This window comes from Homo sapiens, chromosome 9 (assembly GCF_000001405.40).
Source record: "Homo sapiens chromosome 9, GRCh38.p14 Primary Assembly".
Taxonomy (NCBI): domain Eukaryota; kingdom Metazoa; phylum Chordata; class Mammalia; order Primates; family Hominidae; genus Homo; species Homo sapiens.
The window spans coordinates 137,241,287-137,257,921 of NC_000009.12; the positions used below are offsets into that span (position 1 = coordinate 137,241,287).

The 16,635-nt window shown below is 61.5% G+C and overlaps 4 protein-coding genes and 2 long non-coding RNA genes across 17 annotated transcripts in view, besides 10 other annotated features; 4 read left to right on the forward strand and 2 right to left on the reverse strand.

The window, feature by feature from the left end:
- Positions 1 to 2,421, forward strand: TUBB4B (tubulin beta 4B class IVb). Its single transcript, NM_006088.6, has 4 exons — positions 1 to 131; positions 435 to 543; positions 625 to 735; positions 1,210 to 2,421. The coding sequence occupies exons 1-4, from the start codon at positions 75 to 77 to the stop codon at positions 2,268 to 2,270; spliced, it is 1,338 nt and encodes a 445-aa protein (NP_006079.1). The 5' UTR covers positions 1 to 74; the 3' UTR covers positions 2,271 to 2,421.
- Positions 176 to 405: a silencer, noted in NCBI's record as "silent region_20599". NCBI's record gives its function as "represses an Ori minimal core promoter by ATAC-STARR-seq in GM12878 lymphoblastoid cells {active_cell/tissue: GM12878}" and the evidence as "EXISTENCE:reporter gene assay evidence [ECO:0000049][PMID:35858748]".
- On the reverse strand, positions 2,313 to 13,836 carry CIMIP2A (ciliary microtubule inner protein 2A). 7 transcript variants are annotated; one of them, XM_047423396.1, is made up of 9 exons: positions 10,896 to 13,836; positions 8,915 to 10,496; positions 6,374 to 6,498; positions 4,353 to 4,567; positions 4,021 to 4,271; positions 3,803 to 3,932; positions 3,356 to 3,450; positions 2,885 to 3,002; positions 2,313 to 2,502 (listed from the first exon to the last, which is right to left on the reverse strand). In XM_047423396.1, the coding sequence occupies exons 2-9, from the start codon at positions 8,948 to 8,950 to the stop codon at positions 2,414 to 2,416; spliced, it is 1,059 nt and encodes a 352-aa protein (XP_047279352.1). In that variant the 5' UTR covers positions 8,951 to 10,496; positions 10,896 to 13,836; the 3' UTR covers positions 2,313 to 2,413. The 7 variants fall into 7 exon arrangements, with proteins under 7 accessions (XP_047279352.1, XP_047279355.1, XP_047279354.1 ...); XM_047423399.1 differs by having other exon boundaries at positions 8,915 to 8,996; positions 9,946 to 13,836; XM_047423398.1 differs by having other exon boundaries at positions 8,915 to 9,000; positions 9,946 to 13,836.
- Positions 4,283 to 5,076: an enhancer, noted in NCBI's record as "H3K27ac-H3K4me1 hESC enhancer chr9:140140021-140140814 (GRCh37/hg19 assembly coordinates)". NCBI's record gives its function as "activates a minimal SCP1, AML or CMV promoter by ChIP-STARR-seq in primed H9 embryonic stem cells {active_cell/tissue: H9 hESC(primed)}" and the evidence as "EXISTENCE:reporter gene assay evidence [ECO:0000049][PMID:30033119]".
- On the forward strand, positions 7,824 to 8,562 carry LOC124902316 (uncharacterized). The gene is made up of 2 exons (XR_007061882.1): positions 7,824 to 8,154; positions 8,317 to 8,562. It is a non-coding gene; the product is annotated as an uncharacterized LOC124902316 (long non-coding RNA).
- On the reverse strand, positions 8,933 to 12,211 carry STPG3-AS1 (STPG3 antisense RNA 1). The gene is made up of 4 exons (NR_038389.1): positions 11,877 to 12,211; positions 11,589 to 11,689; positions 11,105 to 11,220; positions 8,933 to 10,081 (listed from the first exon to the last, which is right to left on the reverse strand). It is a non-coding gene; the product is annotated as an STPG3 antisense RNA 1 (long non-coding RNA).
- On the forward strand, positions 10,000 to 12,197 carry STPG3 (sperm-tail PG-rich repeat containing 3). 6 transcript variants are annotated; one of them, NR_046340.2, is made up of 6 exons: positions 10,000 to 10,110; positions 10,452 to 10,609; positions 10,715 to 10,769; positions 11,151 to 11,239; positions 11,553 to 11,679; positions 11,813 to 12,197. NR_046340.2 is itself a non-coding variant. In NM_001256699.2 (6 exons), exons 1-6 carry the CDS (start codon positions 10,001 to 10,003, stop codon positions 12,175 to 12,177), a joined length of 1,161 nt encoding a protein of 386 aa, NP_001243628.1. In that variant the 5' UTR covers position 10,000; the 3' UTR covers positions 12,178 to 12,197. The 6 variants fall into 6 exon arrangements, 4 of the variants coding, with proteins under 4 accessions (NP_001243628.1, NP_001004353.2, NP_001243629.1 ...); NM_001256699.2 differs by having other exon boundaries at positions 10,715 to 10,849; positions 11,376 to 11,679; NM_001004353.4 differs by having other exon boundaries at positions 10,715 to 10,849; positions 11,376 to 11,679; positions 11,829 to 12,197.
- Positions 13,409 to 13,588: a silencer, noted in NCBI's record as "silent region_20600". NCBI's record gives its function as "represses an Ori minimal core promoter by ATAC-STARR-seq in GM12878 lymphoblastoid cells {active_cell/tissue: GM12878}" and the evidence as "EXISTENCE:reporter gene assay evidence [ECO:0000049][PMID:35858748]".
- Positions 13,409 to 14,396: a biological region, named in NCBI's record as "H3K27ac-H3K4me1 hESC enhancer GRCh37_chr9:140149187-140150134".
- Positions 13,449 to 14,396: an enhancer, noted in NCBI's record as "H3K27ac-H3K4me1 hESC enhancer chr9:140149187-140150134 (GRCh37/hg19 assembly coordinates)". NCBI's record gives its function as "activates a minimal SCP1, AML or CMV promoter by ChIP-STARR-seq in naive H9 embryonic stem cells {active_cell/tissue: H9 hESC(naive)}" and the evidence as "EXISTENCE:reporter gene assay evidence [ECO:0000049][PMID:30033119]".
- Positions 13,779 to 14,148: a silencer, noted in NCBI's record as "silent region_20601". NCBI's record gives its function as "represses an Ori minimal core promoter by ATAC-STARR-seq in GM12878 lymphoblastoid cells {active_cell/tissue: GM12878}" and the evidence as "EXISTENCE:reporter gene assay evidence [ECO:0000049][PMID:35858748]".
- Positions 14,041 to 16,635, forward strand: part of NELFB (negative elongation factor complex member B) — an 18,216-nt gene continuing 15,621 nt past the window's right edge. Inside the window, exons 1-4 of the mRNA NM_015456.5 lie at positions 14,041 to 14,325; positions 14,621 to 14,784; positions 15,043 to 15,142; positions 15,538 to 15,768. Of these exons, the coding sequence (NP_056271.3) occupies positions 14,080 to 14,325; positions 14,621 to 14,784; positions 15,043 to 15,142; positions 15,538 to 15,768 (741 nt within the window). The 5' untranslated portion in view covers positions 14,041 to 14,079. The remainder of the gene's footprint in view (positions 14,326 to 14,620; positions 14,785 to 15,042; positions 15,143 to 15,537; positions 15,769 to 16,635) is intronic.
- Positions 14,159 to 14,338: a silencer, noted in NCBI's record as "silent region_20602". NCBI's record gives its function as "represses an Ori minimal core promoter by ATAC-STARR-seq in GM12878 lymphoblastoid cells {active_cell/tissue: GM12878}" and the evidence as "EXISTENCE:reporter gene assay evidence [ECO:0000049][PMID:35858748]".
- Positions 14,379 to 14,438: a silencer, noted in NCBI's record as "silent region_20603". NCBI's record gives its function as "represses an Ori minimal core promoter by ATAC-STARR-seq in GM12878 lymphoblastoid cells {active_cell/tissue: GM12878}" and the evidence as "EXISTENCE:reporter gene assay evidence [ECO:0000049][PMID:35858748]".
- Positions 14,379 to 15,344: a biological region, named in NCBI's record as "H3K27ac-H3K4me1 hESC enhancer GRCh37_chr9:140150135-140151082".
- Positions 14,397 to 15,344: an enhancer, noted in NCBI's record as "H3K27ac-H3K4me1 hESC enhancer chr9:140150135-140151082 (GRCh37/hg19 assembly coordinates)". NCBI's record gives its function as "activates a minimal SCP1, AML or CMV promoter by ChIP-STARR-seq in naive H9 embryonic stem cells {active_cell/tissue: H9 hESC(naive)}" and the evidence as "EXISTENCE:reporter gene assay evidence [ECO:0000049][PMID:30033119]".

Consider the following 16,635-nt stretch of genomic DNA (forward strand, 5'->3'; position numbering starts at 1 on the left):
AGCACTCTGCGCGCCCGCTCTTCTGCTGCTGTTTGTCTACTTCCTCCTGCTTCCCCGCCGCCGCCGCCGCCATCATGAGGGAAATCGTGCACTTGCAGGCCGGGCAGTGCGGCAACCAAATCGGCGCCAAGGTAAGTTGCCGGGGCGCTGGGGCCAGGCGGGCCTGCCGGGCGGTGTGGGCGGGCGGCCGGGGAAGATGGCGGCAGCAGCGGCCGGGCGGCGCCCCCGCATTGCGGCCGCCGGGCCCCCTCCGCGGGGAATTGGCCGAGCCGGGCGACCGAAGCCCCCAGGAACCCGGCGGCCAGGGCGCGCGGGGCGGGGGAGGGGCGGGGAGGGCCGGGCTGCCGCGCCCGTCCGGGGCGGGGCTGCCTCCCTGCGCACCGGCCGCGGTGACTCAGCCCCGGCCCGCCCGGGCCCGCCCGCGTCCCTTGTAGTTTTGGGAGGTGATCAGCGATGAGCACGGCATCGACCCCACGGGCACCTACCACGGGGACAGCGACCTGCAGCTGGAACGCATCAACGTGTACTACAATGAGGCCACCGGTGAGGCCCCGGCCCCTTCCCCGACCGCCCTCCGGGGACCCCGCGGCCCCTGCCTTGGCTGACGCCCTCCCGTCCCCGCAGGCGGCAAGTACGTGCCCCGCGCCGTGCTCGTGGATCTGGAGCCCGGCACCATGGACTCCGTGCGCTCGGGGCCCTTCGGGCAGATCTTCCGGCCGGACAACTTCGTTTTCGGTGAGCCGTGGCTGGGGACTGGGCGGCGGCTCAAAGGTCAAGGGGCTGCTCCAAGGGCACCGCCGTGGGAACTGCGCAGCCGGGGCCCCTGGACGCCCTCCTCTTCTCTGAGCCACTCAATCCCCTCTACTAAATCGGCTTTGGGAGCAAGGTCCAGCTGTCTGCCGAGGCGAGGAGCCGCCACACACGTAATCTCCCTGCAGGGAGCTGAGCTGGGGCAGTGGCTGTTCCTCTGTCCTTGGGAATTGGCAGTGGCCCCCCCGGGGAGGGGTTTGTTAAGCTGTCAGGTTTGGCCCCTGACTTAATTCGTAGCAGGGCAGGCTGCCGTCTTTTGGCTTTGAAGGGTCCGTTTGCTCTACCTCCAGGGTGAATTCTGTGGTCAGCTCACACCATGTCACTCGGCTTTTTTCGCATGGCGGTGACCAGTAGTGCTGTCTACCTGGCTGACAAATGATTAGCTGTGTTCTCTCACAGGTCAGAGTGGTGCTGGGAACAACTGGGCCAAGGGGCACTACACAGAAGGCGCGGAGCTGGTGGACTCGGTGCTGGATGTTGTGAGAAAGGAGGCTGAGAGCTGTGACTGCCTGCAGGGTTTCCAGCTGACCCACTCCCTGGGTGGGGGGACTGGGTCTGGGATGGGTACCCTCCTCATCAGCAAGATCCGGGAGGAGTACCCAGACAGGATCATGAACACGTTTAGTGTGGTGCCTTCGCCCAAAGTGTCAGACACAGTGGTGGAGCCCTACAACGCCACCCTCTCAGTCCACCAGCTCGTAGAAAACACAGACGAGACCTACTGCATTGATAACGAAGCTCTCTACGACATTTGCTTCAGAACCCTAAAGCTGACCACGCCCACCTATGGTGACCTGAACCACCTGGTGTCTGCTACCATGAGTGGGGTCACCACCTGCCTGCGCTTCCCAGGCCAGCTCAATGCTGACCTGCGGAAGCTGGCTGTGAACATGGTCCCGTTTCCCCGGCTGCACTTCTTCATGCCCGGCTTTGCCCCACTGACCAGCCGGGGCAGCCAGCAGTACCGGGCGCTGACCGTGCCCGAGCTCACCCAGCAGATGTTTGATGCCAAGAACATGATGGCTGCCTGCGACCCCCGCCATGGCCGCTACCTGACGGTTGCCGCCGTGTTCAGGGGCCGCATGTCCATGAAGGAGGTGGATGAGCAAATGCTTAATGTCCAAAACAAAAACAGCAGCTATTTTGTTGAGTGGATCCCCAACAATGTGAAAACGGCTGTCTGTGACATCCCACCTCGGGGGCTAAAAATGTCCGCCACCTTCATTGGCAACAGCACGGCCATCCAGGAGCTGTTCAAGCGCATCTCCGAGCAGTTCACGGCCATGTTCCGGCGCAAGGCCTTCCTGCACTGGTACACGGGCGAGGGCATGGACGAGATGGAGTTCACCGAGGCCGAGAGCAACATGAATGACCTGGTGTCCGAGTACCAGCAGTACCAGGATGCCACAGCCGAGGAGGAGGGCGAGTTCGAGGAGGAGGCTGAGGAGGAGGTGGCCTAGAGCCTTCAGTCACTGGGGAAAGCAGGGAAGCAGTGTGAACTCTTTATTCACTCCCAGCCTGTCCTGTGGCCTGTCCCACTGTGTGCACTTGCTGTTTTCCCTGTCCACATCCATGCTGTACAGACACCACCATTAAAGCATTTTCATAGTGTGTGGTTTCGCTTTGCCCATTCCTTCCAGTAGGCCCTCCGGGTGCTGTTGCCGAATGTCAGGGCGTAGTTGTCCTGCATGGCTGCGGGGAGCCAGGCTGCAGCTGAGCTGGGCTTATGTGCCCAGGACCAGCATGGGCTGGACACCCAGGCTTCAGAGAAGTGTGGGGCTGCCCTGGGCCCTGGGTATCTGCTTGGTGGGGAACTTGCTTGTTGAAGGCAGGCCTGTCCTGTTCCAGGTACCCAACCTTGGGGCTCGGCCTGTGTCTGGGACTTAGGTGGGTCCAGTGACCCCCCTTCCAAAAGGGGTAGGGAGGATGGCAGACAATCCTACCCCAACCAAGGTGGGACCCTGGTAATGGTCAGACAGGTGGTCCTGAACCAGCAATGAAGGGTGAGCAGGTAGAGCCGTCCCTCCCCACATTGGCCGGGGTGTGTCCATGTGACCCTGCCCACTCTACTCACCGGGGATGAACCCCATGTAGAAGGGGATCAGGCCTTGGCTGCTGTAGATGTGGTTGCTGGGCCAGTGTGTTCCAGGCAGCTTCTCGCCCAGGTCACAGTGGGGGTTTCTAAACAGGAACTGGGGAGACAGGAAGGTGCTAACAAGCTCCCTCCCCGGCAGGCAAACAGATAGTCAAGTTGTCCCAGTGGGGGCCTGGCCGGAGGGCCGGCACTCCGTGGGAAAGCTGCTAATGCTCCCAGCCTTCTGCATCCCCCTACCCCCGACTCCAAAACTTGAGTGCAGGGATCCAAGCAAGACTCAGGAGAGAGGGGTTGGGGCGGCACCTCCGGGGACAGGAGAGAGCCAGGCAGAGCCCCCTCCTCAGGCTTCTCAGGGAACCTGGCCTTCAAGGCACCCTCCAGGGAAGCTGCCAGGCAGGAGAGGAAGTGTGTGTGTGAGCTGGGAGCAGGCCCTGGATGGCGCTTTCCTACCTGGCTCTTGTCGAATTCGTCCATGGCTTGCATGACGCCGTCTCGGTAATTCAACCCCATTACCCAGGTGAAACGGGGAATGAAGCCAGCATAGCCTGGGGGTAGGCAGATGTACGGGCTACCCCAAGCCCCCTTAGCCTTCCCCTGGGCACACCCACCTGCCCTCAGACGTGTCAGGGAAGCCAGGCAAGGCTCCCTTTCGTTCCCTGAACGTTGGCGACTGTCTGATGTGGCCAAATGGGAACAGGCAGGCAAGGCACCGCCTCGTCTTGGGAAAAGCTGGGCTCCTGGAAGCAGCTGGGAGGCAGAGGAGGTCCCCCCAGGCCGCTAGCCTGTTCTGGAGCAGGAAAAGTGGGCCCCTGTGGCAGCCTCCTCAGGGGCTCTCACACTGCAAGAACCTTGTGGGGAGGGGCGGCCTTCTCCAGCCCAGCCCAGGCCCACACCCACCTGAGATGGCCTTGCGTTGGATTAGGTTAGGGTGGTCCAGCTGCGGCAGCCGCTGGAAGCTGCCCACATCTAGCGTCTCCTGCTGGCGGCGGGCGGGGGGTGGGTACTCATCCCTCTGGCAGTGGTACAGCTGGAGCGGGGAGGAAGCGGAGGTCACGGTGCAGCTCCCACCTGGGGCTGAGCGGAATGGGCTTGGCACTGGTGCATCCCCTGGCTGCCTGGTGCTGCCTGGGGGCCTCGCAAACAGGAGTGGCGCTCTTCCAGGCCTCTTCCCCGTATACTGGGTGTCCCAAGTCTCTGGAGTCTCCCTTCCTGCCTGGTGGGCACGGAGGGTGCGGGGTGTCGGGCGTGAAGCCTGCAGGCAGCAGAATCTGTCTGGGTATGTTCTCTACCCCTGGCGGCTCCTGGGCGTCCACCTCCAAGGGTGGGAGCTGGCCCAGAATCTCAAAGTTCTTAGAGGGCTTCAGACCTGTACCAACAGGGCAGCCTGTGAGTGCCGGGACAGGCAGGCGGGCACAGGAGGGTGCAGGGCTGGGGACTGGCAGCTCACTGGTGTAGTGGGGGATGTAGGGCTCCGTCAGGTCTTGGCAGGGAACCCTCGGGGGCTTGGACTGGCTGAAGTCCTCAATGAACTTGGGTTTGGACATGGGGGACAGCACAGAGCAGGGGCTCTTCTGCACACTGGGGTCTGTGAGCAGCTGCCCCGTGGTACGCCCATAGGTGTTCCCCACCTGGTAGCGCAGCTGCGGAAAGAAGCCGGCATAGCTGTGGAGGGAAGAGAAGAAGGCAGGGCAGGTCTCAAGGGCAGCCCCAGCACTGGGCAGGGCCCCTTCAAGCCAGATGTGGATTCAGCCTGCTGGCCACTTAGCAGCAGGTTGGCCTGTGGCAGCTCGCCTGCCCTCTGCTCACCTGTAAATGGGGCTGCAGTGGCACTTGCCTTCTAGAGCTCTCTCAGCCTGAACAGGCGGCACACACCACATGCTGGGAACACGTCAGCACCACAGCAGATGGCCGCCTGCCTTGTACCAGCCCCTCCAACCCTCTCCCACCCCTCATTCCAACTGCCAGCAAATCAGGGGTGCTCTGCCCTGGCAAAGCAAGTACAGGCACAAGACGTGTGGGCCAGGACATAGGCGAGGGACGGACCCTTGGACACACGCAGGGCCCACCAGGAGGGTGTTGCGTGGGCTTGGCCTGCACCTGTGCCACCCCAGGAGGCCAGTAGCCTCCTGCACGGGAAGAGAACTGGGAGGCAGGTGGAGGGCTGGGCTTTTCCGGGCCCTCATTCAACCTCGAGGGGCATGGTGCAGGTGGTCACAGGCGGTTCAGCGCCTCAGGGTCTATGTGATCTTTCAAGGAGTGAGAACTACCTTCGTCTTAAAAACTGCCAAAGGGCCGGGCGCGGTGGCTCACGCCTGTCATCCCAGCACTTTGGGAGGCTGAGGCGGGCGGATCACGAGGTCAGGAGATCAAGACCATCCTGGCCAACATGGTGAAACCCTGTCTCTATTAAAAATGCAAAAAGTTATCCAGGCATTGGTGGCGGGCCCTGTAGTCCCAGCTGCTCGGGAGGCTGAGGCAGGAGAATGGCGTGAACCCAGGAGGCGGAGCTTGCAGTGAGCCAAGATCGCCCCACTGCACTCCAGCCTGGGCAACAGAGCGAGACTCCGTCTCAAAAGAAAAAAAAAAGCCGAGCAACTTCCAGCCTCAGCTTCACCTGCCCCTTCCCCAGACGTAGCTGTTCAGAGGCAGGTGTGGTTTCTTCCCAGCCTTTCCCCTTTGCATGTAGCGTGTGTGTATGTAGGTGCACACACACACACGTTCCGTAGAGGGGTTACTTTTATTTTTTGTTTGGGGGGATATCTAGTGAGGCAGCCTGGCGTTTGCTTGCCTTGTCTTTAAAGTGTGGAGTCCTGGCCGGGCGTGGTGGCTTAAGCCTGTCATCCCAGCACTTTGGGAGGCCGAGGTGGGCAGATCACTTGAGGTCAGGAGTTCGAGACCAGCCTGACCAACATAAAGAAACCTCGTCCCTACTAAAAATACAAAATTAGCCAGGTGTGGTGGCAGATGCCTGTAATCCCAGCTACTCCGGAAGCTGAGACAGGAGAATCGCTTGAACCTGGGAGGCAGAGGTTGCGGTAAGCCAAGATTGCACCATTGCATTCCAGCCTGGGTAATAAGAGCGAAACTCTGTCTCAAAAAATAAATAAATAAAATGAAATGAAGTGTGGAGTCCTCTCTGGAGTGGGCGTCGGGCACTTACTAGCCGGCCTCTGCCGGCTGCTGGCTGACCCAGTTTCTGCTCGACAGACGTGCTGGCCACCAGGTATCGAGTTCGCAGCTGCACACCAGCAGGGAGGGTGAGGCCTGGGCCCCTGGCAACCCCATCCCTGAGCTTCCCCTGTCCCAGGGCTCCCCAGCCCACAGACTGCAGTGCCCCGTGGTGTGGCCTTCAGTTTCCTGGGGTCCAGCTCTGGGCCCCTCACAGCTGGCCTCCATGCCTCAGGCCCCAGCCATTCTCCCCCTCCTGCAGCCCTGGCCCCAGCCACCTCCAGAGCTCCCGGCTCTCACCCAGGGACATAGTGAGGCTCCGGCGTGAAGAGATCGTGTTTCTGAGTAGTTGTCATTTTGCTTTCACTCTGGCCTTGCTGGCTCCAGTCCCTCCCGGCATCCAGCTCCCTTCCCTGAGGGGAGTCCTGTCACCGGGCAACCATTGTGAGGGGCCAGCATTGTGGGCACCTCCTGGGCCAGGCCACCTCGCTAACCCTGTGAGGGCCCACATTGCACAGGTGAGACACTGAGGCCCAGACAGGTGCCAGGCAGGGGAGGAGTTGCGGTGAGGCAGGTGGTCCGGGAGGAAGTCCCATTAACTTCAGAGCTCAGAAAACAGGACTGTCCCTCCAGAAAGGGCCTGGGCTCTTGCTGCCCCCAGGAGGCCACCAGCCCCAGTCTCAGGGTGAGGCTAAGGGAGTCCCCAGGCCCCCTCCTCTGACAGGAGGCCTTGCAGCTGCAGAGCCTTGGCTCGAGTCAGGGGCTTCCCGGCCTGCAGGGCTGTGCGAACTCTCCCTCCAGCCCTTCATGTGGCGCAGGGTGTTATGTTTACATTTTAAGCAAATCCTGAATTTTGTTCTTTTTTTGTACAGGAAGGACTTCCTAACCATAAAAATGAAGGAAGGCGGCCAGGCACGGTGGCTCACACCTGTAATCCCAGCACTTTGGGAGGCCGAGGCAGGCAGATCATGTCAGGAGTTCGAGACCAGCCTGACTGACATAGTCAAATCCCGTCTCTACTAAAAATACAAAAATTAGCCAGGTGCGGTGGCGTGCGCCTGTAGTCCCAGCTACTCGGGAGGCTGAGGCAGGAGAATGGCGTGAACCCAGGAGGTGGAGATTGCAATGAGCTGAGATCGTGCCACTGCACTCCAGCCTGGGCCACAGAGTGAGACTCTGTCTCAAAAAAAAAAAAAAAAAAAGAAAGAAAGAAGAAAGGCTGGGCACTGTGGCTCATGCCTATAATTGCGGTGCTTTCGGAGGCCGAGGCAGGATGAGGTGTGCAGATTGCTTGAGCCTAGGAGTTCAGGCCAGCTGGGCAACATGGGGAAACCCCACCTCTACAAAAAAGAAAGAAAAATTAGCCAGGCATGGTGAATGTGCCTGTGATCCCAGTTACTTGGGAGGCTGAGGTGGGAGGATGGCCAGAGCCTAGGAGGTTGAGGCTGTAGTGAGCTGAGATCGCACCGCTGCACTTCAGCCTGGGCAACAGAACCAGACCATTTCTCACAAACAAACAAAAAAACAACTAAAAGGCAAACTAAAAAACTGGAAAAAAGTTTGCAGTAAGTGCTATGAACAAATCTGGTATCAGCATAAAAAGCTCTCACAAAACAAAGATATAAACAACACCTCCATGGAAAATGCAGACTAATATGGTTTTTTTTTTTGTATTTTTAGTAGAGACAGGGTTTCACCATGTTAGCCAGGATGGTCTCGAACTCCTGACCTCGTGATCCGCCCACCTCGGCCTCCCAAAGTGCTGGGATTACAGGCGTGAGCCACTGTGCCCGGCCAATATGACCTTTTTAAGAAAAAAAGACCGCAGTCCGTAAATATAAGGGCATAAAGCAGGACCATAATCACATACATGCTGACTGTGTGTTGAGAGCAGTTTCTGAGGCTTACTGCCGGCAGGGTCACAGTGAGAAGGGCCTCTAATTTGGGTGGTGCCTTCTGGAAACCAAGTTGGTATGGATCACGTCCATACAAGACACTGCAAACTGGGACCATTGCTTCCACTCCTAAGAAGCTGTCTGGCATTCTGGTAGACGCTGGTTTTCCTCCACCGTTCCTGGCTGGTAATTCCCATATTCCCATAGCCCTTGGTAGGGCCTTTTGTTAGAATGTTGGGTGGGTGATGCTTGGGGGGTGCGGGCGGGGGACTTTTACCTCCTGCCCTCCTTTCACCTGCCCCAAGGCAGGACGCTAACATTCTCACCTTTCTGACTGTGGGTCTTAAGACCCTTCCAGGAGAGGTCCCACCTAAGCCCTGGGGGCAGGAATGCTGACATCAGGAAGCTTCCGTAAAATCCCAAGAGGACTGAGGCTCAGGGAACTTCTGGACAGGGGAACACCTGGAGGTTCCCAGAGGGCGGCAACTAGCGAGGACATGGAAGCGCCAGCCCCTCCCCGTGCCTCTCTCTACGCTTCTTCATTGGTATCCTTTGCAATCAATACCCTTTACAATAAACCAGTAAACGTCATAACTTCCCTAGTTCTATGAGTGGCTCCAGCAAATTAACCCAAAGACGGTGTCACAGGAACCCCAAATTGAAGCTAGTTGGTCAGAAGTTCCAGGGGCCCAGGCTTGCGACTGGTGTGTGTCTGGAGGCCCTGCCCCTATCTGTGTCTGGAGGCCTTCTTGGGATGGAGCTCTCACCCTGTGGGATCTGACACCATCTCCAGGTAAATGGTGAAGGAAATGAATTAGAGGACACCCAGCTTGGTGTGTGGGGAACAACCCCCCTCCCTCAACATTTGGGCAGAGGCCTCCTTCTGTGACGGCTGTGGTGGTGTGGGCGCAGAGCCGGACACTGAGAGAGCATTTCCCCCACGCACCTTCTCAAGGAGAGGATGGATGTCCAGCAGCACCATTCACGGTGGCAACGTTTATTACAGGGCAGGGAGGACCTGGAGGAGCCTATCTGTCCAATGACAAGGGCTTCATTAGCAAAGTACACTCTGTTCCACTGGCAGCCAGTCAACTCTGAACCCGGCACAACCTGGGCAGGGGCCCCGGAGCACAGGCGTGAACCCCTCGCCCAGATAAAACCCGTGTTTCCTCAAGCACGTGTCCATCTGTCTGCCTGGCAGGCCCAGTGCTGAAGGGGAGGCATCCAGAGAGGGCGGAGGAGGGCCCCAAGTTGGCCCTGTTCACAGGCCCTGCCCTGGTGGATTCTGGGCCAAGGTCAGGGCTGGGACCAACTGGTGGTCAGCTCCAGAGACCACACAGTGAGGGCCCTGGTGCCCACACGGGCTCTTGCTCACACAGGCTGGCTGTTCCTTTGCAGCTCTGGCAGCCCGGCCATCTGTGACACCCTCTAGCCTCTGTGCCCCCAGGTGAGAGGTAGGCCCTCACACCCCAGCCCTGGCTGGGCTCCAAGGCCCGGCCTGCCTCTGGTGTCAGACCCATCTGATGTGGATTTGCTTTTCCCTTAAGTGGAAATCCAGATGGGGTGGCGGCTCCTCCTCTTCCTCCAGGGAGCCTTCCTGGGCCCCTCCCTCCTACCCCCAGGGGGTCCTGGCTGGCCAGACACAGCTGGGCATCTCCTAGGGCTTGGTGGATGCCGGTGGGTCCTGTTCCCTCCACCCCCTCTGCTGAGGCCTCAGTCCTCCCAGACCTGCTAGAGTGGACCCCAGACTCCCAGGAGACCCCAGGGTGCAGGAGAGGGGAGAAGGCTGGAAAGGTTGCGGGGAGGGAGAGGGCTGGGCCAGGAGTCACCGGGGCAGGCTGGGGGTCCTGGCCCAGGCGGACCCGCTGATCATCTAGTTAGTGGGGGAGGGGCCCACCAGGGGTCGGGGCCCGGGGCAGCCCCTCCAGGGCCAGACAATGTGTCTTCCTCAGGAGTCCCAGCAACAGAGGGGCCTACCAGTGAGGTCACAGAGCTCCGTGGTGCCGTTGGGGAAGAGAGCCAGGAGACTCTGATGATGAATTCTGACCAGAAGGCAGTGAAATTCCTGGCAAATTTTTACATCAATGGAGGCAAACACTGGACCCATGGTCACCTGAGGCAGACACAACCAGAGCCCACCCAGTAACTGGCGGAGAGGGGGAGAAGGGGCGGGCCAGCTGGGAGTGGCCAGGGGGCTGAGGGACAGTGTGGGGGGCAGGTTGCTGGGCAGGCGGCTGGGGGACTGAGGGACAGTGTGGGGACAGGCTGTGGGGCAGGCGGCTGGGAGCGGCCAGGGGCTGAGGGACAGTAGAGGGGACAGGCGGCTGGGAGCGGCCAGGGGCTGAGGGACAGTGTGGGGACAGGCTGTGGGGCACGTGGCTGGGAGCAGCCGGGGGCTGAGGGACAATAGAGGGGACAGGCTGTGGGGCATGTGGCTGGGAGCGGCCGGGGGCTGAGACAGTGGCTGCTGGTCTCCCTTGCAGGCCCAAGGCATCTGTGCTGTTGTTGGGCCCGGAGCCGGGGATGGCCTGGGATGAGACACAGCCCCCAAAGATGAAGGAGATCCCAGTTGGCCTCAGGTTACAGACGGGCACCCCCCAGGAGTCCCTGCCCACCTACACCCAGACCCTGAGGGAACTATGTGAGTGAGGGTCCTGGCCACCCCACCCCCAAGCTGGTCTTTGGGGGGCTGTGGGAGGGGCCCGCTGAAAGGAGCCCAGGCCCAGAGCTTGCTTCCTGTGGCCAGTGCTGGAGCAACGCCCCCTGATCACAGCTGACCTGGAAGTCCCCAGCCCCACCAGGTACCAGGTGCCGAGCCCGTCCGTACGAGAGTCCTCCCCACACCCCCACTACAGCATCGGCTGCAAGCACCAGGGCCGAGGTGTGTGTCCCCTCCCTGAGGCCCAACCACCGGGCCTGTCCCTCACCCTGGGAATGGGGGCCTTTGCCTCTGTGCTGAAACCCCCACGGCCTGAGGGCCCCTCCACCCTTCCCTGCGTTCACCTCTAGGCTCAGCACCTGTAAGGAGGCCTGGAGAGAGGAGGGCTAGGGCTGGGGCATGGGTGGACATTGTGAAGACAAGGGTTCAGGGGCCGAGGGTGGGAACCGGGAGACAGGTTCGAGTGGGGACTGTCACCTGGGTGGGGCTCCCAGCCTTCTCTCTCTCCATCCTCCAACTACAGAGGGCGGTGGCCGCAGGGCATGGCAGACTTTGTGGTTCCAGAGCGAAAGCCCCTTCACGCAGAAAGCTGACTTCGACCAAGAGCAAAAGGTTGGGGGCTGGGCAGGAAGGGGGCGGGGAGTCCACGCAGGCAGGGGGCTGGGGGTTCCAGTGGGGCCAAAGGGGGGCTGGCTGAGGGTCCGTGGGGAGCACCCTGCCCTGCAGCCCGTCTCCTACCCCCTCGCAGTGGCCCTCGCCAGCCCACTACCAGCTGCTCAGCCGGCCCGCCTTCCCCGCCTTCAGCTTCAGAGGCTGCCACTCCGCTTCCAAGACACCTGAAGGCCACACCCACCTAGGGCTGCCTGGGGCTAGGGGGCTGGGCCTCAGGGTGCAGCCCCAGTCCCTGCTTCAGGCCTCTTTGCAGGCACCTGGCAAGAGATGCCCTGGCCCCAACACCTACAATATCCTTCCTGGGAGCCGCCTGCAGAGCCCCCGCTCGCCGGCCTTCTCGATGAGCCGCTCCCCTGCGTTCACCTCCTGGCTCAGCACCTGTAAGGAGGCCTGGAGAGAAGAGGGCTAGGGATGGGGCATGGGTGGGCAATGTGAGGACAAGGGTTCAGGGGCCGGGGGTGGGAACTGGGAGCCAGGTTTGAGTTGGGGCTGCTACCTGGGTGGGGCTCCCAGCCTTCTCTTTCGGCAGCCCGAACCCCTGGCCCAGCCGCCTACCACGTGGAGGACTGCAACTCACGCTTCCCTTCGGCGCCTGGCGTGGTCATCCAGGGTGTACGCAGACCCAAGCGCCACGACACAGGCCCCTTCTGCACGCTCTAGAGCCAGCTGGGCACAACCTGCTTGGCCCGGCCACCGAGTGGAACCATGGCCTCCCCCGGGGCTTTCCCAGGCCTCCCCTGGGACTTGGGGCCCCAGCCTGGCCTTCTGACCCTCTGGGCACCCCGATGCACCCTTCTGGCTGGCCAACCCTTCTATGGGCTGTGGACAAGGCTGGCCCAGCCTGGATCCCCCATCTGCCCATCTCCCCGCTACACTGAGATGCTGTTGGTTTTCCCGAGCTCTGTGGTGTGCAGTTGTCTGTCCTTCACCCGGGGGCGGTCCTAGAGATATGGCTGCCGCTGGGTCATTTCCGGCTTTCCCTGTTGAGGGGTCTCCATTCAGCTGCCCCTGAAAGGTGCTCTCTTCTCTAGGGTGGCAGCCTGTGACTGACCCTGAGCTCTAGCCTGGAGCGAGATGGGAGGTGGGCTCTGTGGGACACCCCCACCCAGCCGTGTCACTCAGGGGCCTGGTCTAGCTGCTGTCCACCTGAGGGTCAGCTGCTTGCCGAGCCAGGGAACTGGGAAGGAGGCGTCAAATGCCCTGAGCCGCCACCTCCAGGTGGGGTCGGCCTGGCCAGACCTCAGGAAGGGCCCAGGGATCTGCTCACCAGGGCCCAGCCCCACTTCCCCTAGGCCTTGAGCTGAAGACCTGGCTGGGCTTAGTCACCTGTGCCCTGAACACTCTGGCCCAGGGCCCTGCAGACTCCACTCCCGGGGCCTTCACCTGCTGGGACCCTGCACTGCCCCTGCCTGCAACTTCGCCTGGCTGGGGCCTCCCTTGTCATCACTGGCCTGCCCTCCTACCCAGGGTCGGGCCCCAAGGCTGCCACCTTGCAGGAGCCTTACCTGCGGTGCCGTCACCCGCACCTCCCCAGGTCCTCCCCAGACCCAGGACCCAGACCAGGCCCAGAGCTCAACCCCTTCAAAAAGGCTCTGGGCAGCTGCTTCTGTGGCCTCAGCACCACCCCCTTTCTCAGAGAGGAATCCCAGGCTCAGGATTGTGTGTGTGCTGTGACCCTTGTCCTCCTCTGCCACCGAACCAGCTGGGGGTTGGATCAAGGCACTGGAACCCTCGCCCTAGGGCTGACCAACTTGGCCAGCGGCAAGAGAGCTGTGGTAGCCATGGCCTTGGGAGCTCGGCCCGGCTTGTGGGAACAGGAGCTCTGCTCACGGCTGCACCACCAGGCACCCCTGGTGAGACCCAAAGCTAGGAGTGGGAGCGGCAGGAAAGATGGAGCGATCTCCTCCAGCTGGGCTGAGGAGGGAGGGCTTCCTGGAGGAGGTGGTGGAGGAAGAAGCCTTCAAGGAAGAGCAAGAGTTTGCTGGGCAGCGGGAAAGAAATTTCTAGAGAAAATTTCAGCAGCGGAGACCGAAAAGAGAGAGGGTGTGTGTAGGGGGCTTGGCGCGGCACAGCCTGCGGGAGGGCGGCGGGCTGGAGAGGCGGGGAGGCCCGGGGAGCCCACCCGCCTGGGATAAGAAGGGACACTGTGGAACCTGGACTCTCCTTCACGGCTCCGCGGAGCTCGGTGGGCGCCACAGCCTCCCGGTGCCTGGGAGGGCGGCCGTCGCTCGCGCTCCCGCTGCGGGCCCGGTCTCCGCCAGGCCCCGGCCCCCTGAAGGCGCTCAGATCTCAGTTTTGGCGACAGCGCCGGGGTGGGCTTCGTGCCCGTTTCACGCGGAGGAACCCACGCTCAGGAGGGAGTCTGCGCCTGTGTCCGGCCCCTGCGGGGCAGAGGGGCGGGGAGCTCAACCCCCGGCAAAACGTCCCCGCTGCGCGTGGCTGCCGCGAGATCTGCAAGAGCGTTTTCCACGCTTATGTACACGAAATTCACTCGGCTGCGACGACGTCCGTTCCCGGAGCAGACGGACCCTGAGTCCGCCCCCCACGCCCTCACCCGCCCTCTTCTGCCAGAAAGCCCGGGCGCGGGCGGGACCGGGTGGGCGCATGCGCGCTGGGCTGGCTGGGCGGGGTCTCTCGCGCCGGGTGAGGGCGCTGCTCCCAGGAACCTGCGCGCGGCCCCGGCGGCGTTTCCCGGGGGCCGGTTGGCGGGCGGACCTGGGCGGTGCGGGGCGGAAGTGGGCGGCTGCGGGACGCGCGCGGAGTCGCGCGGCGGGCGGGACCTGGCCGAGCTGGAGGGCGCCGGGGAGCGGGGCTCGGGCGGTCCCCGAGGCCCGGCGGAGCGGGCTTCTGGGGTGTCTGCGGCGGCGCCGGGGGAACGGGCTGGGGATGGGGCGCCTAGCCGGGCGGTGGCCGGGGCCTCGGCCATGTTCGCGGGGCTGCAGGACCTGGGCGTGGCCAACGGCGAGGACCTGAAGGAGACCCTGACCAACTGCACGGAGCCGCTCAAGGCCATCGAGCAGTTCCAGGTGGGGCGGCCCCCGGGGCGGGGGGAGCCCAGTTGGAGGGCCGGGCCGCCTGCTCGGGAGTCGGGCCTGGCGGAGGCGCCGGAAGTTTTCCGGCTTTCTGCTGGTGGCTGAGTCCTGTTCTGGGGGTGGAGTCCGGAGCCAGCACCCCTTTGCTGGACGGCTGGGTGGCTTTCGGTGGCTGCGGTTACCGCCAGCACGGCTGGGAACACCTGGGTGCGTGCCTCCCTGTGCTCTCAGGACCTCGGGGTGCCCGGGCGCACTGGGCTGCGTTTGAGGTTTCTCTTGGCTTCCTCAGACAGAGAATGGTGTGCTGCTGCCATCTCTTCAGTCAGCCCTCCCCTTCTTGGACCTGCACGGGACGCCGCGGCTGGAGTTCCACCAGTCGGTATTCGATGAGCTGCGGGACAAGCTGCTGGAGCGAGTGTCAGCCATCGCTTCGGAGGGGAAGGCTGAGGAAAGGTGGGTCAGCGGGAGGGGTGGGCAGGTGAGATGTGCAGCCGGCCTCTCAGCCTTGGATCGACTCAGGGGCATTTATTGTCCTTTTGGCTCCACATCCTTGCTCCCAGAGGTGGCCTGGGCCTGTGTCTGAGTGACCCCTTGACCCATGTGTCCTGGGCGTGGAGGCTTGTCCTGGTAGCTGTTATCTGTGTAGGGACAGGCAGGTAGCTGCTGCGATTTGGCGCATCGCTGCACCATCAATCCTGTGAGTTGTTCCAGGTACAAGAAGCTGGAAGACCTTCTGGAGAAGAGCTTTTCTCTGGTGAAGATGCCGTCCCTGCAGCCCGTGGTGATGTGCGTCATGAAGCACCTGCCCAAGGTAGGGCCCTAACCCTAACCCTGATGGCGTGGACCGTCCGCCCACTCTCATGCCCTTGGTTAGTGGAAGTTCCGGTGGCCGCCTAGCTCCGGGAGCTTCCTGTGCTGCCTGCCCAAGTGCTGTCCATGGTGAGCTCTGTGCTGACTTCTCCCACATGAGCCGCGTGGAGACCGAACCTTAGCACTGGAGTTAGGGTGTGGGGCCCCTCCTGGGAAAGAGCTGTTGGTATTTAGCATGTCTGTCTGACATGCTGGGGCCGGGGAACCAGTCATAGGTGCCCTGTGGGGTGGAGCTTAGCTCGAGGTGGTCTCTGCGGGGCTGAGGCCTCTTGGCTTGTCTTGAAGGAGACCCAGGGACACAGGTGCCACTCACAGGCAGCCTGTGGTGTCATGTAGGTTCCGGAGAAAAAACTGAAGCTGGTTATGGCTGACAAGGAGCTGTATCGAGCCTGCGCCGTGGAGGTGAAGCGGCAGATCTGGCAAGACAACCAGGCCCTCTTCGGGGACGAGGTTTCCCCACTCCTGAAGCAGTACATCCTGGAGAAGGAGAGCGCTCTCTTCAGTACAGAGCTCTCTGTCCTGCACAACTTTTTCAGTCCTTCCCCCAAGACCAGGCGCCAGGGCGAGGTGAGGGGACAGGCCGTGTGCGGGGTGGGGCACCTCTTGGGGATGCCACGGCTAGCGCCTTCAGCTGCCTGGGGATCAGCACTCTGCTGCCCTGTGAATGATCGGGTGGTTCTGCTTCTTGGCTGGGTGGTGGGGGAGGGCTGGCTTGTACACATGCTGGAAAGAAAGTTGGTTGTTTTTCTGTTTGCATTTTACTTTTCGTTAAAGTGATATATGGACAACATTTAAAATCTGCGGAAAGCCCGCTCATGTGAAGTTAATCCCCCCTCCCCTACTTTTTTTCTTTTTCTTTGAGACGGAGTCTCGCTCTGTTGCCCAGGCTGGAGTGCAGTGGTGTGATCTCGGCTCACTGCAAGCTCCCGGGTTCACTCCATTCTCCTGCCTCAGTCTCCCGAGTAGCTGGGACTACAGGCGCCCGCCACCATGCCTGGCTAATTTTTTTTCTTTTTCTTTTTTTTTTTTTTTGAGACGGAGTTTCGCTATTGTTGCCCAGGCTGGAGTGCAATGGCGTGATCTCGGCTCACTGCGACCTCCGCCTCCCAGGTTCAAGCAATTCTCCTGCCTCAGCCTCCCGAGTAGCTGGGATTACAGGCATGCATCACCACGCCCGGCTAATTTTGTATTTTTAGTAGAGATGGGATTTCTCCATGTTGGTCAGGCTGGTCTTGAACTCCTGACCTCAGGTGATCCGCCCCCCTCGGCCTCCCAAAGTGCTGGGATTACAGGGGTGAGCCACCGTGCCTGGCTTTTTTTCTTTTTTTTTCTTTTTTAAGAGACAGGGTCTCACTCTGTTGCACAGGCTGGAGTGCAGTGGCGTGATCACGACTCGCTGCAGCTTTGACTTCCTGAGCTAAAGTGATCTTCCTG

Coding starts and splice junctions, on each gene's coding strand:
- TUBB4B (NM_006088.6), top strand. CDS start 75: ATGAGGGAAATCGTGCACTTGCAGGCCGGGCAGTGCGGCAACCAAATC. Junction 132..434: donor GCAACCAAATCGGCGCCAAG/GTAAGTTGCCGG, acceptor CGTCCCTTGTAG/TTTTGGGAGGTGATCAGCGA. Junction 736..1,209: donor GCCGGACAACTTCGTTTTCG/GTGAGCCGTGGC, acceptor GTTCTCTCACAG/GTCAGAGTGGTGCTGGGAAC.
- CIMIP2A (XM_047423396.1), bottom strand. CDS start 8,950: ATGGTGCTGCTGGACATCCATCCTCTCCTTGAGAAG. Junction 4,568..6,373: donor GAGCCTCACTATGTCCCTGG/GTGAGAGCCGGG, acceptor TTCCCTCCACAG/CTATGCCGGCTTCTTTCCGC. Junction 3,451..3,802: donor CCAACGCAAGGCCATCTCAG/GTGGGTGTGGGC, acceptor GCCTACCCCCAG/GCTATGCTGGCTTCATTCCC.
- STPG3 (NM_001256699.2), top strand. CDS start 10,001: ATGATGAATTCTGACCAGAAGGCAGTGAAATTCCTGGCAAATTTTTAC. Junction 10,610..10,714: donor CCAGACCCTGAGGGAACTAT/GTGAGTGAGGGT, acceptor TCCTGTGGCCAG/TGCTGGAGCAACGCCCCCTG. Junction 11,240..11,375: donor ACTTCGACCAAGAGCAAAAG/GTTGGGGGCTGG, acceptor ACCCCCTCGCAG/TGGCCCTCGCCAGCCCACTA.